Genomic DNA, 18,318 nt, shown 5'->3' on the forward strand with positions numbered 1-18,318 from the left:
TATAAGCAACTAAATACAACTATAAGCAAAGTTGTATTTGCAGTGTTGTTCTCCAACAGCCACTTTCTAATGTACAGGATCAGGATATATCTCAAGGAGTCAGAAGAAAGGCCAAACCACAGCCATAAGATCGCACTGAGGACTACAGGGACACCATGGGTCTAGAGTTATTCTCACAATCACAGAATTAAGACCTCAAGTTAAAGTGCTTGAACATGGCAGGGAGCCCAAGAAGGGTGGAATACCAAAACTGCTATTTCTTGTCCAATCTAATGACTGAGAATAGTGGTATCATTAACAGAATGGCAAGGATTTACTTTAACTTACTTGCCCCCGCCACACCCCAGAAAGTGCTAGTCTATCTAACAAGTATTATTTTAGAATTGCTGTATTATTTTAGTCATCTGCATATTTTCGATGGACTTATAAATTAATCTATATATTTAACATAAGCCAAATTGACAATTTTCATAACTACTACTGATTGTTCCATTTCTCAAAAATCACAATTAAATCCAAAAGGTTACAAAAGGAAAGGTTAGATTTCTCACAGATGCTTTAAATTACTGCTCTTTTACCATAGCTCATTATACCTAATGTGTAAGAAAATAGTAAGGACAAAAATGCCTTAAAAATTTGTGCATAAATTACTTTTTATCACTTTAGTGTAATAACACTAATGATCAATGAGCAAGCTACAGGTGATTTGTGTAACACTCAATTTTGGTTTTTTTTTTGGCCATCTTTCAAGGCCCAGGATGTAATACAAACTTGATTACTATGTAAATATCCATCTCTACAAAAAATTTAAAAATTAGCTGGGCATGGTGGCACATGTCTATATTCTTAGACATGCTCATGGAGGCTGAGATGGGAGGATTGCGTGAGCCCAGGAATTTAAGGCTGCAGTGAGCTATAATCAACGCCCCTGCATTCCAGCCTGAGCAACAGAGATCCTCCCTCTAAAACCAGAGGAAGAAAACAAAAAACAAAAGAAAACAATAATAATAAAAAGTAAAACTAAACCTAAACTTTACCTGATACTCTCTTTCCCTCTAACAAAGTTATTAGAGATGGGCTCAACTCTAACAAGCATCTAAATCAGTACTCTAAAGGTAAAAAATAATTTCAGGTAATCAATACCAACTTCTACAAAGTTGTAGCCAACTGGCAACACAATTTCTGAAGACATTCTATTGTTTAAGTAGATACGAATAGATTAATGAGCCACCACAGAGGCAAGTGAAACAGGATGATCTATCTATACTAGCAATGGCCTAAGGTTACCAAGATATAGCAAATACAGGTAAAATGTAGACATGTTGAGAAGATTTCCTTTGAATTTTACTTAGAAAATCCAAACAGCTCTAAAAAACAGATCAATATATACTCTGTACGAAGTGATTTTTGCACGTGGCATCTGAAAATATGTCCAAGAAAATTTCTAGCTTCTATCAGGCATGCTAGTTAGCTATGAGGAAGCTTGACTAGTGCACAATACATGTAGTCTTTACCTTTTGGGACCAGGAAAATCCTATTTATCCGAGACTCCTAAAAACCACTCTGGGTTACAGGTTCTGGATCTTCTCACACATACCCTCCCCCTACAATTCTCATGTCCTCAGGCCTTACCACTTCTTTGTGACAGCTGCTGCTTTATAAAGACATAATTCTAGCGTGAAGTATTTCTACTGGAAAATCTGGGATTGACAGGATGTTGACAAGGACTCAGTAAAAATAACCATTCCTAACAGAGTGTGTAGATACAAACAGGCAGTCACTGGTCAGAAGTTTTCCTCAGCTGAGTCACCCGGCCATGGAAAACCCCAAGTTTGCACCTGAGAGGCTCTGAAATACTACCCTCTGGAGTGCAAATATAAAACACATTAGGCTTGGAGAAACTGTTCTAAAGCAACTTGTTGGACCAGCTAGATTTAGAAATATAATGGATGGTTGGTAAAAGGTAACTCTAGGGGCTGCCAAGGGAACTCAGTTCCAAAAACCCTTCCCATAAAATTAGGCTTTCCAGAGACACACATCTTAGATGTTCCAGAGGTTTATGAGTCCTCTCTGTTGCCCCTTTCAAATCTAAATACTTCCTCAAAGTCTCTAGAGCCATCTGTTAAGGCCAAAGTAAATCTCAACATGTCTACACCACAGAAGTTTATGCCGCATTGTAAGGAAGTCTAAAAGGCCAAATGAATGCACAGCTACTTGGGAGGCTGAGGTGGGAGGACTGCTTGAGCCCAAGAGTTCAAGACCAGCCTGGACAACATAGTGAGACCAGCCTTTAAAAAAAAAAAAAAAAAAAAACAAAAGCCAAATGCTGCTATTCTGGATTTCATACTGTGAAAAAGAATGAAAGAATGTTAGGTTTTTTGACAGTGGACGTTAGGGTTTTTCAAACACTTTCCCTTTTTAAATGTGAGTAACATCCTATATTAGTTTCCTACTGCTGCTGTAGAAATTACCACAAATACTGACTTTACACAAGCTTATTCTCATAGTTGCGGAGGTCATGAATCTGACATCGGTTTTATAGGGCTGGTTCCCTGTGAGGGCTCTGAGGGAAGAATGTGTCCTTGCCTTTTTCATCTTCTAGAGGACCACCTGCATTCCTTGGCTCACATTCCCTTCATCGATCACTACAACCTCTTGTTTCCATCGTCAAATCTGCTACCACTCACTCTGGTGTGCCCACCTCTTCCAAGGACCTGTGTGATTATATTGGGCCAACACAGATAATCCAGGATAATCTCATCTCAAAAATATTAATTTGATGCCATCTGCAAAGTCTCCTTTCCTATATTCATAGGTTCTAGAGATTAGGACATGGACATGTTTTAGGGGTCATTATTCAGCCTACCACACAATTACCAGATTTAAAATTCTATGAAGTATACTTACCTACAGTATCTCGTTTAGATACTTACCAGGTGTTATCATTCCTAATGAATGAGAACGCGAGTCTAGAAACTTCATTGCTTAGCCACAGTGATATAGTCAAAAAACTAGAACTCAAACTAGAGCATATGGCCCTAGAGACCATGTAGCAGCAGCACATACCACTTCTCCTCCACCAGGCTGCCTGTAAATCACTGGCCTTTGGCCTCTCATTTTCTCATACAGTTTTTTTTTAAAATCATACTCATAGTCCAAACTGCAATCTACCAAAAAAAGTAGCCCACATCAGAGATTCCTCAAATGTTCTCAGGTCATGGCTCCCTTAAAATCTCAGTCATTTTTTTTTTTGTGGCATACCTGAGGCCAAAAGAAATGCCTAATAGCTCTGTTCAGTCGAAGCAGTATTTGTGTCCTAATAGCTCAGGAGCTTCTGGGCACTCCACCACTTCTCAAATCTTAGAATCAGATGGGACACTGCCACTCTCGTTTCCTGTTTCACATTCTTTTTTGTTTTTTTGAGACAGGGTTTCACTCTGTCACCCAGGCAGGAGTGCAGTGGCGCAAACACGACTGACTGGAGCCTTGACCTCCCCGGGTCAGGTGATACTCCCAGCTCATCCTCCTGAGTAGCTGGGACTACAGGTGAGCGCTACCACACCTGGCTAATTTTTGCATTTTTTGTAGAGACAGGGTTTCACCACATTGCCTAGGCTGGACTTGAACTCCTGGGCTCAAGCGATCTGCCCGCCTCAGCCTCCCAAAGTGCTGGGATTACAGGCGTGAGCCACCGTACCTGGCCCGTTTCACACTGATTTTCAAACAGTACTGCTTTTATTTCACAGCAATGGCCAAAATCCCAGCTTTGCAAAGATATGGCATCATCAAAAGGAATTTAGTGATTTAATGCTGAATTGTGAACTACCTTAAGCTATTAGTTTGTATGATATCTAACAGATGTCATTGTGTTTCACTGAAGGTTAAAAATACTCTGTGATACCCACGAGTTTGAACCTGCAGGCCTGCGCTCCTCACATTACTGCTTGTACACTCCTGCTCTGACGAAAGTGTGCTCTCTGTTATGCAAAGTGCATAGCTGAAGCTCCATATAATGGGCTCAGACAAATAATTTAGGAAACTCCCAGTTTGTCATCGCACATAGTTACATGCCAATTTGACATTTTCTATTAAAGATATATATCTTTATTATATTTATATAATCATATATATTAATTTATATATACATATTTTACATATATGAAATATATGTATATATAATATACATATTTTACATATATGAAATATATGCATATATAATATACATATTTTACATATGAAATATATGTATATATAATATACATATTTTACATATATGAAATATATGCATATATAATATACATATTTTACATATATGAAATATATGCATATATAATATACATATTTTACATATATGAAATATATGCATATATAATATACATATTTTACATATATGAAATATATGCATATATAATATACATATTTTACATATATGAAATATATGCATATATAATATACATATTTTACATATATGAAATATATGCATATATAATATACATATTTTACATATATGAAATATATTTTATATATAATATACATATAATATATTTCATATATTATATCTATGTATATTATATATAAAATATATTTCATATATCATATATACATATATGAAATATATATTTCATATAATATATACATATGATATATGAAATACATATTTCATATAATATATACATATCATATATATTTCATATATATATATATATTTTTTAAGATGGATTTTCACTCTTGTCGCCCAGGCTGGAGTGCAGTGGTGCATTCTCGGCTTACTGCAACCTCCACCTCTTGGGTTCAAGCGATTCTCCTGCCTCAGCCTCCCGAGTAGCTGGGATTACAGGCACCCGCCACCATGCCTGGCTAATTTTTTTGTATTTTTAGTGGAGACAGGGTTTGACTGTGTTGGCCAGGCTGGTCTTGAACTCCTGACCTCAGGTGATCCGCCCGCCTCAGCCTCCCAAAGTGCTGGGATTACAGGCATGAGCCACTACGCCCGGCCTAAAGATATATTCTTTACCATCATCTTATCTGCTCATCCACTTTTTTTCCTAAGGCAAGCAAATGAAGGAAAATGTATATGGTAAATATTTGATTTCTAAGTCTACAGAACTATATTATATTACATCTACAAGCAGAGAATTCCTGTTAGACAAATAAAGTACACTGACATTTTTATCTGCCCAAAGGAATTGCACTTACTCATTCAAATGTCACATGGACAAACATCTGACACCAAACGTAAAATTTTTTCCTTAGTAACTTCTAAAAATGTACACAATAGTAGCAAAACAAGAAGCTGTAACAAACCATAGTATTCCTAATTCTTTTGATATAAATTTTAGACTAAGAAGAAGATATGATGCACACCAAAGCACATGGAAAGGAAGTTTCAGCATTTGTTCAAAATGATTAAATTCATGGATCTTCTAGACCAGTGATTCTCAAAGCTGATGGTGTATCCAAATCACCTGGAGGACTTGTTAAAACACAGATCGCTGTACCTACCCCAGAGTTTCTGGTTCAGCAGATCTGGGGCAGAGCCAAGCATTCATAAATTTCTAAAAAGTTCCCAGGCAATACAGATGCTACTACTAGTCCAAAGACCATACCTTAAAAATCAGTTTTAGATAAAATTCACATTTTCATAGCAATTCAGAAAAACTACTGAATATATTATGAAAGCAAGTGAGATGAATTTGTATTTGGAATAGCAAAAAACAACAACAAAACCCAAACCCAAAACCACATGAAAACAAACACCACCACCACCACACACACGCACACATACACACACACACACACACACACACACACACACACACACACACGGGGAAAAAAAAGGCCAGAGGGAGAAGAAAACCCCACAGTGACAGTCAGTTCCCCAAACAGGATAAACCTAGCTACTCAAACTGAATTACTCATGACTGTGCAAGTTATCAATGTACCCTTTACTGACGGCTCTTCAAGGAGTAAATGTAAGAACACATGTGGCAGCCTCCTGTGAGGTGGGCAGAGGAAACTGACCCAAGGAAATCAGAAAAGCCAAGGGTTTACCATGAAGCACCTAAAAAATTCTCCACATTCAGTGGGAGGTAAACATGGTCCACCCCTAAAACAATTTTAGAATGCTCAAGAAACTGTTTTGGTGATAAGTGTTGAATTATATGTATCTATATACATACTCTAGTAGTCTGATGCTAAGTAAATCTAGTCTTGCCAACATACAATGGAGAAGTAAGCAAGCCAACAGCACAGGTCTTTTTTCTTTTTAAGTCATGGCAGCTATGTGCTGTGTGACCACCTTCCTTTTGCAACAGCTACACCTATAAATCACTAAAACAATAATTGATGAACAAGAGCCTGAGGTGCTATCAAAGCCAAATACATGTTAAATTATATATTCTGTATATTTTATTAAGGCAAGAAACCATTTTAATAATACTAAAAAGATTTTCAAAAAGACTCAAGCAAAAATGACTGTCAATTGGGTCTAAAATTCAGTCAGCCTGAATGCCCCAAAGTCTAAGGAAGCATCATGAAGTTACAAACCTTTCCAAAGGTCAACAAGAAGAAGCTAACTTCCTATTATTCCTACTCCTTTTAAATAACAGTCATTACCAAGTGTTTCCAAAGCGGGGCATTTGTTTTGTTATAATCAAAACCTGCTCAACTGAGGAAAAACAGTGCAATGAAAATATTCTTATATTTATGACATTCAAGATCACTATTTGGACCAAAGAACACGCCAGGATTTTTATAGCACCTGCATGTAACTGTTTCATGATGACCCTCCACAAGGGGCAGGGAAGGGACAGGGAAGGAAGAAGCATGCAGGGCTTTCCTGACCCTACTTCTAGTGTGTAGGAAAGAGGAGAGGGAACTCATTATCCCTCCAGCCACCGTTTCTTCTCCTTGTATGGATGGATCACTAGACCCCACAGAGTGCAAGAATGACGAGAGAAGGGGACTATCAGTGATTAATCCTTGTACTAATAACTTATAAAGTACATCCCCTCAGTATAACAGATTCCATATAGCACAAAAAATGAACAGAAATAATAGTTTCCTGGCATTTTCCAACTACCCAATTAGAAACTGACAAATGTATAAAAAACAATTTTTGTCAAGTAAATCATAGGCCCTGGCTATTTAGCACTATGACCTCAAAGCTTAATTTTCAAATAAAATGACTGGTCTCAAGAAAAACAGGCCAGGCGCTGTGGCTCAGGCCTGTAATCCTAGCACTTTGGGAGGCCGAGGCAGGCAGGTCACATGAGGTCACGAGTTCAAGACCAGCCTGGCCAACATGGTGAAACCCCGTATCTACTAAAATACAAAAACTGGCCAGGCATGACGGCAGTTGCCTGTAATCCCAGCTACTTGGGAGGCTGAGACGGGAGAATCGCTTGAACCCGGGAGATGGTGGTTACAGTGAGCTGAGATCGTGCCACTGCACCACTGCACTCCAGCCTGGGCAGCTGAGCAAGACTCCATCTCAAAAAAAAAAAAGAAAAGAAAAGAAAAACAGTACTTCAGAAATGTGTTCAGTACTTTTTCTGGCAGTAAAACAACCTTTTTGTTTCTCCTACACAGAGAAATTATTTCACTCATGCAAATGAATGGGGGTGTACTTGAAGCCCCAGAGCCACATGGGGTGGTCTCATTGTCAGATTCTGTGGCTGTTCACCATGAACATGCTTTCTGGAATGCACCTGAGAAAATCTCAAGACTAAATGCAATTCTGAAAAGGCCCAGGGAGTGAATCGTGATTAATGTAAGCCAGCACTGTTCAACAGAACTCTGTGATCATGAAAACATTCTAGTAATATTACAGCACTGTCCAATCAGGTAGCCACTAGCCACATGGGACTACTGAGCACTTGAAATGCAGTGAGTGCAACTAAGGAACTTAATCTGTAGTTGTACTTAATTTTAATGAACTTAAATTTAAATAGCCCCATGTGGCCAGTGGCTACCTTGCTGGACAGCACAAACCTAAATGCAGATTCCAGTCCCCTTGTGGCTTAGGCTTATGATGCAATTCTGGCCAATGAGACAGAAGGAAAAGATTTCCCTTAATCTGAAAGAAAAAAAAAAAAGAAACACAAAGAAGAGAAGGTTCTTTTTTTGTGGTCTTGAGGATGTGATGTCTCGGAAATGTTGCAGTTGTCCTGCAAACAGCAGCGCAGCAAGCCTAGAGGTGAGGTTAACATGCTGGAGGGCAGAGCAGAAGAATACACAGAACATGAACCCTTGCTACTCACTGAGCCCCCTGGCCACTGGTGTGGAGATGAACAATTTTCATCTTTTTTTTTTTTTTTTTTTTTTTTGAGACAGAGCGAGACTCCGTCTCAAAAAACGAAAATAAAAATTTAACTATGGGACAAGATTCTGGAACGACGGCAGCATTCAGGGCATAGTTGGTTTGAATCCTCCTGAATTTTCCCATAAAAACAGATTGAGCAATCTGGATGCAAAACTGAAAATCTGCACCTACAACAAAGCTAAGTGATCAGGTAGCCTCACAAAACCCAAAAGACAAGCAGATGGGGACAAACTACTGACTGCTAAAGACTGGTGTGCAATTGCCATCTGTGTGAGAAGCAGCAAAGGGAAGCAACAGGGTATTTGATGAATCTGAAATTAGGAAAACCCCAAATGAGACAACAGGTACTGGCAAGCAAGGTGAGCTGAACTAGGAATAGCAGTTGAACTTTAAAGGAGCTCTGTACATTCCAACTTATGGCCTGTACAAGGGGATGGAGTGATAGGGACCCTCTAAACTAAAAGCTAACCATCTGAAGCTCTCTTTCAGGACAAAGTCTTGTACTGAGGAGAAACTACTGGGAACAGAATCCAGCAGAACAGAGACAGGAGAAGAAAAGGAAGAAGGTGGCCCAAATAAAGAACCAGGAAGAGTAATGACCAGATGTCTGAAAGTGCTAGGATTCCCTCTTCCCCTCCACCAGAAAAGTCAAAAGAGGGAGCTCTAGAGCCAGAAAGCTAAAGTCTTCCTGCCCACTTCTCTCTCTCAGTTTATGAAAATTAATTTCCTGCAAATCAAAACCACAATGTGATACCATCTCACACCAGTCAGAATGGCGATTATTAAACAGTCAAGAAACAACAGATGCTGGCGAGGCTGTGGAGAAACAGGAATGCTTTTACACTGTTGGTGGGAATGTAAATTAGTTCAACCATTGTGGAAGACACTGTGGCGATTCCTCAAGAATCTAGAAGCAGAAATACCATTTGACCCAGCAATCCCATTACTGGGTACATATCCAAAGGAATATAAATCATTCTATTATAAAGACACATGCATGTGTTTGTTTATTGCAGCACTATTCATAATAGCAAAGACATGGAATCAACCCGAATGCCCATCAATGCTAGACTGGATAAAGAAAATGTGGTACATATACACTACTATGCAGCCATAAAAAGAAATTAGATCATGTCCTTTTCAGGGACATGGATGGAGCTGGAAGCCATCATCCTCAGCAAACTAACACAGGAACAGAAAACCAAATATCACATGTTCTCACTCATAAGCGGGAACTGAACAATGAGAACACATGGACACAGGGAGGGGAACAACACACACCAGAGCCTGTCACAGGGGTGGGTGGAAGGAGAGCATCAGGATAAACAGCTAATGCATGCGGGGCTTAATACCTCGGTGATGGGTTGACAGGTGCAGCAAACTACCATGGCACATCTTTGCCTATGTAGCAAACCTGCACGTCCTGCACATGTATCCTGGAACTTAATATATATTTAAAAAGAAAGAAAATTAATTTTCATTAAAAATGAACAACAGGAAAGCACTGTGGTTTTATCTCAAAGTCATTATTTTAAAAAGAGAGAAAGGGAGGCAGAGAGCATCTGTAAAAACAATAAAAACATACCAGAAAAAAAACATGCCTTTAAAACAGGTAAAAACTGTAACACAATATTATTTTGAAATTTTAAATTTTTTAAGAAAATGACATCATGGCTGGGCACTGTGGCTCACGCCTGTAATTCCAGTACTTTGGGAGGCCGAGGTGGTCAGAAGTTCAAGATCAGCCTGGCCAACATGGTGAAACCCTATCTTTAAAAATACAAAACTTAGCCAGGTGTGATGGCGGGCGCCTGTAATCCCAGCTACTCAAGAGGCTGAGGCAGGACGCTTGAACCCGGGAAGCGGAGGTTGCAGTGAGCCAAGATCGCAACATTGCACTCCAGCCTGGGTAACAAAAACAAGACTCCATCTCAAGAAAACAAAAAAAAAAACAAAGAAAATGACATCATATGACGAGGCAACATAAATCTGAATTAGAACAACTCAAAAGGGGTGATAAAACTCAGAAATTTCAGAAATGAACACTAAACTAAAAGAAACACAAGAATGAACAACCAACGGGTAACAGATAATGCCTTAAAGAAACTAGAAAGTAAATAGGATGGAAAAGTTAAGAAAGGGATAAAAAGATTAGAGAGCGGCAATCTATAGAAAAACAGGCAAAGAAGATCCAAAATGTATACAATAGGAGTCCCCAAAGAAGAAAATCAAAGCAAGGAAGCATAACAAAAACTAAAAACAATAACTAAAGAGAATATCACTAGTCTCTGACAGCAACGCTCTATGGAAGAACATAATAGAGAAAACGAAATGTGAGCCGAGAATTTATAAGCAGCCAAACTATGAAGTGAAACTGCAGGGTCACATGGTAAATTTGTTTAACTTTTTACGAATCAGTTTCTTTTTATAATCTATCAGTATTTACTTATTTAGTCACTCTAGGGTCCTTATAAGAGATGGTTATGTTTTCAATTTTGTTCTGCCTCATTGCATTTCTTGAAGGCATAGTAAGAAAATCTCTCTATGGGTAACTTTTAATTTTTTTTCTATAAAGAAAACATACAGATTAAGTGTTCTTCATCCAAAATGCTTGAGACCAGAAGTGTTTCAGATCTCCCTCTTTTTTGGGGTGGGGGGCGTGGGGGTTTCAGAATATTTGTATTATACTTACTGGTTGAACACTGCAAATCCAAAAATCCAAAATCCAAAATGCTACAATGAGCTTTTCCTTTCAGCATCATGTTGGAGCTCAAAAAGTTCTGCATTTTGGATAATTTTGGATTTTGTGATATCAGATGCTCAACCTGTACTGTGCTATGAGAGAAAAAATTAAAAATGCTTACATACCTTCCTTATAAGACAAAGATGACTGAATCTATGTAAATCGTCTTTTCAAGCAATAACTGAAGTTAAGAATTGTGACAGTATACAGCAGTGTGCATTATTACTTTGACAAAAAAGTTTTTGTTTTTTCAAACAGTACTTGAAACACAAATCCTGTGGGAACCACTGATATCAAATAATTCTTTTTGAAACTTATCTCTACAGCCATTATTATCCCAATTAAAAAGGAAGCTACACTACACCTAAACACAACAGAAAACATACAGACTCAAAAAGTCTAGCTGGGGCCGGGTGCAGTGGCTCCCAGCACTCTGGGAGGTCGAGGCGGGTGGATCACCTGAGGTCAGGAGTTCGAAGCCAGCCTGGCCAACATGGTGAAACCCTGTCTCTACTAAAAATACAAAATTAGCTGGGGATGGTGGTGCGCACCTGTACTCCCAGCTACTCGGGAGGCTGAGGCAGGAGAACTGCTTGAACCCGGGAGGCAGAGGTTGCAGTGAGCCAAGATCGCGCCACTGCACCACAGCCTGAGCAACAGAGCAAGACTCCAACTCAAACAAAAAAAAGTCTAGCTGGGTGCAGTGGCTCATTCCTGTAATCCCAGCACTTTGGGAGGCCAAGGCGCAGGGACTGCTTGAGGCTAACAGTTCAAGAAGAGCTTAGGCAACATAGTGAGACCCCCATCTCTAAAAATAATAAAAAATAAAAAATTAGCTGGGTGGGAGGATCACTTGAGCCCAGGAAATCTGGGCTGCAGTGAGCCATGATCATGCCAGTGCACTTCCAGCCTGGGTGACACAGCAAGACCCTGCCTCAAAAATAAAGTCTACTCAGTCACTGAGTAGGGTCTTTAAGGCAATAAAGATTATATCACATTATCCAGAAAGGGCCTGGCTCACCAATGGAGGTCCATCTACATCACTTTCAGTGTGCATCATCGCCTATACAGCATACTCAACCAGAAATTTATGTATAATATACTCAATCAATAAAAATACTTACAGGAAAGAAGTAAATAAGTTGTATAAATATAAAAGTTGTCCAGTAACAGACTACAAGAACAAGACTGTTTAAAGTGTGGGTTTAGCACTGGTATTGCTTCATGAACTGTTAGCAACGGATCCATGTCAAGGTAAGTGCAAAAACTGAGAATGTTTAAACCTCATTATAGCAATTTGGTAATTTTCCATCTGTTGACTCTAATAATGAAAAATCTGGGCATGTATTTTGTTAAGTTTTTGTTTCTTTTTTCTGGTAATTTGTGTATATTGTATTTTATACACACGCACAAAAGTTTGTTCGTGACAAATTGGAGGGAGAGAGGAAGGAGAAATTAGTCTGGTACTTTGCTAGAAATAGTAAGAGAAGTAGAAGGCGGCAAACTTTTTATGTAAAAGAGTAAATATTTTAGGCACTGTAAGTAATATGGTCTCTGTGACAACTACAGTCCTCCCTATCTTTGGGGGACTGGTTCCAGGACAACCCCCTACTCCCCTTCTAGATACTAAAATCCTTGGATGCTCCAGTCCCTTATAAAACAGTGTAGTATTTACATACAACCTACACACATCCACCTGTATACTTTTTTCCTCCTCCCATTTCAGGGCTCCACAGGACTCTCATATACTTTAAATCATCGCTATATTACTTACAATACATAGTACAATGAAAACGCTATATAAATACCTGTTTTACCATATTGTTTTCATTTGTATTACTTTTGTTTTTTCTCCCTCAAATATTTTTTATCTGAGGTTGACTAAATCATGAATGTGGAACCCACAGAGACAGGGCCAACTGTTCTCAAATCAACTCTGCCATTCTAGCATGAAAGCAGCCATAGATGATATGTAAACAAATGGGCATGGCTGTGTTACAATAAAGCTTTATTTACAAAAACAGGTTGTAGGTCAGATTTGGCTTGCAGGCCATAGTTTGCTTATTCTTAAATGAGAACATGCTAGAAAAACAGAAAAAGGAAGGAGACAAAGTACAAAAATTCTCCAAAAGGACAGATCCTTGAAAAGGGTGTTGGCAATAAATAACAGGAAGGGAAAAAGAGTAAGATTTTTTTTTATCAGTGTGGTCTATATTTCATCTAGCTACTCCAGCAGCCACATTTCTGGTCATATTTTAAACAGGCTGTGGTAGATCCTTGCATTACTACTGTCAACTACAATGCCCTGAAGACATACCACACAGGTCAGATGTCTTCATTGAAACGCATCCTAGCAGCGGACTGAGTCCTGGTTTATCTGGCAGGGGAGTACGCTGACTGATATTACTCAGTATACAATCACCTCTCTGGCAGATTTAAAAATCATATGCCTGAAATTGTAACATATAAAAACCAATCCAATCTTCTAACAGGTTATCTTATTCCTTGTTACTTGTATTATGAAATGATTTCTGATACCCAAGATTTCTGAGATACCAAAAGGAGAGAACAGAAGGGCTGTGAGGGAGTTAGGGGTAAGAGAGGGACTGGGAACTCAAAGGATTGGGAATATCACTTTGGGCTGTAGTGCTCAACATCTTCATGTCTTCAATTCTAGAATTTTGAGCAACATACTTGAAGGTATTAAGATTCCAAAACAATAGTAAATAAGTGAACATGAATTACAATGTAGGCAGTACTACAGAAAATAATGTCCACAGTGTCCAGAGAAGTAGTTTTCAAACTTTTTAGTTCAGGACTCTTGTTGAGGACCCCAAAGGGCATTTGTTTATATAGATTATACTTCCTGATATTTACCATATTAGACATTGAAACTGTGAATATGAAAAATATTTATTCATTTTAAAATAAACTCATTATACATTAACATAAATTACACATATTTCTATGATCTGTTTCTACTCTTAACACTTCTGACACCAAATGTGTGGGTTTTTTCCATGTCAATAACCAATTTTCCAATAATAATTAGATGTTCATCAATTCAATTCTGACACTATTACCCAAAGGTGTCACAGGCCCTGCATGTTAAGGGCTAGGTCTCATGAGATTGCCTCTATTTCAGGTGCCGGTATCAAGTCCAGGTCACCCGTACTTCTGACTCATCAGCTACAAAGTTAGGGGTTTCCACAATCCCTTTCTCAGGTTTGACCATTTGCTAGGATGGCTCACTGAACTCAGGAAAACAATTTACTTACTATTGTTGGTTTATTATAAAGGATACAACTCAGGAGCAGAAAAATAAAAGACATGCACAGGGCAAGGAATGGAGGGCTGAGAGGAGTATGCAAAGTTTCCATGCCTTCGGTGGGTGCACTGTCCTCCCAGCACCAGTTCACAAGTCCAGAAGCTCTCAGAACTCAATTTTTAAGGATTTTTTGGAGGTTCCATTACACAGGCATGATTGATTAAATCACTGGCCTTTCCTGGCTGGGCTCAATCTCCAACCCCTCTCCCCTCTGCAGAGGTTGAGGGAAGGGGTTATATTTCCAACCCTCTATTGGTTCTTCTAGCAACCAGTCATCATCCAGAAGCTATTTAGGAGCCCACTAAGACTCAGCTCATTAGCATAAACTCAGGTAGGGTTGAAAGGGACTTCTCATGAATAACAAAAGATGCTCCTCTCTCCTCTATCACGAAATTCTAAGGGCTTTATTATAAAAGCTATTATGCCAGGAACCTGGGATAAAGACCAAATATATATTTATCACAACATCTAGGCCAGGCATGGTGGCACACACCTGTAATCCCAGCACTCTGGGAGGCTGAGGTGGGTGGATCACCTGAGGTCAGGAGTTTGAGACCAGCCTGGCCAACATGGTGAAACCCTATCTTTACTAAAAATACAAAAATTAGCTGGGTGTGGTGGTGCATGCCTATAATCCCGGCTACTCCAGAGGCTAAGCCAGAAGAATCACTTGAACCCAGGAGGCAGAGGTTGCAGTGAGCTGAGATCACACCACTGCACCCCAGCCTGGGTGACAGAGCGAGACTCCATCTCAAAAGAAAAAAAAAAAAAGTTTTAATGAAAAATAACTCTTTTGAAAGTAAAAATTAGTGAGAGGAATGGTACCGTTTTACATTTCTGCAAATATCTTTAATGTCTGGCTTAATCGAAGTCAGCAGTATTCTCGTATCTGCTTCGGCATTTAATCTGTACTATGATATATAGTTTGGTTCAAGTACATGAAGAAAATTCAACTGCATGCATATCTATAGTTTAAAATGTGAGTGGTATTTTAAGAGCCTTTCAGGTAATCGTAGATATTATTCTTCAATACTGAAATGAAATTCTACAGATGGTAGGTTTTTTAATTCTTTTTGAAATGTATTCTCGTTTTATTGCTCAGGCTGGAGTGATCACAGCTGACTGTAGCCTCGAACTCCTGGGCTGAAGCTATCCTCCTGCCTCAACCTCCCAAGTAGCTAGGCCCACAGGGTCAAGTCACCACATTTAGCTTTTTTTTTTTTTTTTCTTGTAGCTTTCTTTTTCTTTTCTTTTCTTTTTTTCTTGCAGAGATGGAGCCTTGCTTGCTGCCCAGGCTGGTTTTGAAATCCTGGCCTCCAGCAATCCTCCCACCTTGGCCTCCCAAGGTGCTGAGATCCCGGGCATGAGCTACCACACCCAGCCTAGATGGTAGTTTCCTAAAGGTTAGCTCCAATGTAAAATCTAAAACCCTATCAATGAACTTTCTGTACTCTGTTACATTAAAATCCATGTCTGCCTTCACTCTGAATGGATCCTTACCCATGCATAATTCTGTACATCATGCACTGGTAAGTTAATATTTGTTTCCTCAGTTGTGAGCTCTTCAAAATGCTTATGTATTTCATTATCCAATACTAAAAATTCCATCTATTACCACTGATCTCATCACAGAAGTCTTTAAATACTGGGAAGTTGTAGGCCAGGCCCAGTGGCTCATGCCTGTGATCCCAGCACTTTGGGAGGCCGAGCTAGGTGGATCACCTGAGGTCAGGAGTTCAAGACCAGCCTGGCCAACATGGTGAAACTCCATCTCTACTAAAAATATAAAAATCAGCCGGGTGTGGTGGCACATGCCTGTAATCCCAGCTACTTGGGAGGCTGAGGCAGGAGAACTGCTTGAACCTGGGAGTCGGAGGCTGCAGCGAGCCGAGATCATGCCATTGCACTCCAGCCCAGACAAGAACGAAACCCCATCTCAAAAAACAAAAACAAAAACAAAACCTGGGAAGTCATCAAGCCCAAAAATCTTATCACTGGCAACAAATATTATCAGTCCTTTCATTTTTTACAAAATCTGCCAAATACTCAAAGCTGAATAACCATAGTTTATTAGTTATTCTTAAAAGTAAAAATGTCCATGAAAAAAGATGGTTAGGTCAGCATGTAACTCAACCCTACAGGTGCTTTTCCTTAAAACAACCACAGTACTTCAACACGCAGCAGAAGTGCCTTGTGTGACCTTCCCATTACATCACACAAAGCATTAAAAAGATGTGCAATCTAGTGTCAAGAGTTAACCAAAGGAGTATTTTTTTACGCATTCTTAAGTGAAACTGGGTTAAAAAAATAACAAAACAAAACTGTAGAGTGTGTGGAATACAATGTCTATGAGCACACTTTGGTGCCACTGCCTTGATTCACGCTTAGGCACCAGCAGTACCATCAATACAAATGTTAACACAGAGAGAAAGATAACTTCTCAGAAATACTATATAAAGGTTTGACCTTGAGGATCCCATGAGAGATTTTCAGGGATTTCCAGGGAAATAGGGGCCACACTTTGAGAAGTGCTAATCTAGAGAAACATCAACAGTTACCCAGTTGATCACTTTGTGGCCCTTCAAGATTGGTTACTGTTTTAATATAACTGCTGACTGCTCTGACACCCTCCCACATGAAAATGCCACTGTTTCATGTCTTACCATATCTGTTACCTCACGCTCATAGCGAACTGTACACTGCTCTACAATGCACTGCACAATCAGCACAGCTCAGCATCTGATCTACAACGGCCAGTACAGTGTGGTTTAAGAGCACAGGCTCTAAAGTCAGTTTGCTTGGGTTCCAATCCTGGGTCTACCACTTACTGGCTGTAAGGCCTTGTACAGATTATTTATCCTTATTTGCAAAATGAGTACAATAGTATCTATCTATGAAAGCTGTGAGGATTCAACAACCTATTCAGTGTTTGGCATGGGTCCTTACACACAGTTAAGTGCTCACAACCTGTTACCAATATTCTAAATATTACTGTATTTATTAGTATATATTATACTACTATAATCCTGGGATAGTAGATGCATTCTAAGTTGTAGCAATGAAATTTTATACAGTAGTCAAGACTAGGCAGGATCCCCAGGGAGGAGCCTACGCTCTACAGCAGTGTTTCCCAAGCTAGCCTGGAAGAATCACCTAAGGCAGGGGTCTCCAACCCCCAGGCCACAGACTGCCACCAGTTAGTGGCCTGTTAGAAACTGGGCCGTACTGTAGGAGGAGACAGGCAGGCAAGTGAGCAAAATCATCTGTACTTACAGCTGCTCCCCATCGCTCACATTAACGCCTGAGTTCTACCTCCTGTCAGATCAGCAGTGGCATTAGATTCTCATAGGAGTGAGAACCCTATTGTGAACTGTGCATGCGAGGGATCTAGGTTGTGTGCTCCTTATGAGAATCTAATGCCCGATGATCTGTCACTGATTCCCATCACACTCAGGTGGGACTGCCTAGTTGCAGGAAAACAAGCTCAGGGCTCCCACTGATTCTCCATTATGGTGAGTTGTATAATTATATTTCATTATATATTACAGTGTAATAACAGAAATAAAATGCAACATAAAGTAATGTGCTTGAATCATCCCCAAAACATCCTCCCCCTCCTCCCCATCCATAGAAAAACTGTCTTCCACAAAACCAGTCCCTGGTGCCAAAAACGTTGGAGGCCTGTGACCTAAGGTACCTCCGCCAAATCTAGATTCCTGGGTTCCACCCTAGACTATACATCATAAACTTAAGGGAAAGAGCCTGGGAATCCGTGTAACAACACATTAGGAAATTCCTATTACGCAAGGTTGGGACATATACCTCTAGAGAGAACATTATATTTGAGGAATTTAGAACTATTAAAAGATAGTCAACATCAAAAGTCATTTTCTGAATTAACTGAAATAGTAAGGCATAATTTAC

The 18,318-nt window shown here is 39.4% G+C and overlaps 1 protein-coding gene across 2 annotated transcripts in view; it reads right to left on the reverse strand.

The window, feature by feature from the left end:
* Positions 1-18,318, reverse strand: part of SPPL3 (signal peptide peptidase like 3) — a 141,849-nt gene that overhangs the window by 85,691 nt on the left and 37,840 nt on the right. The window lies entirely within an intron of this gene.

The sequence above is a fragment of the Homo sapiens genome, chromosome 12 (genome assembly GCF_000001405.40).
Source record: "Homo sapiens chromosome 12, GRCh38.p14 Primary Assembly".
Taxonomy (NCBI): domain Eukaryota; kingdom Metazoa; phylum Chordata; class Mammalia; order Primates; family Hominidae; genus Homo; species Homo sapiens.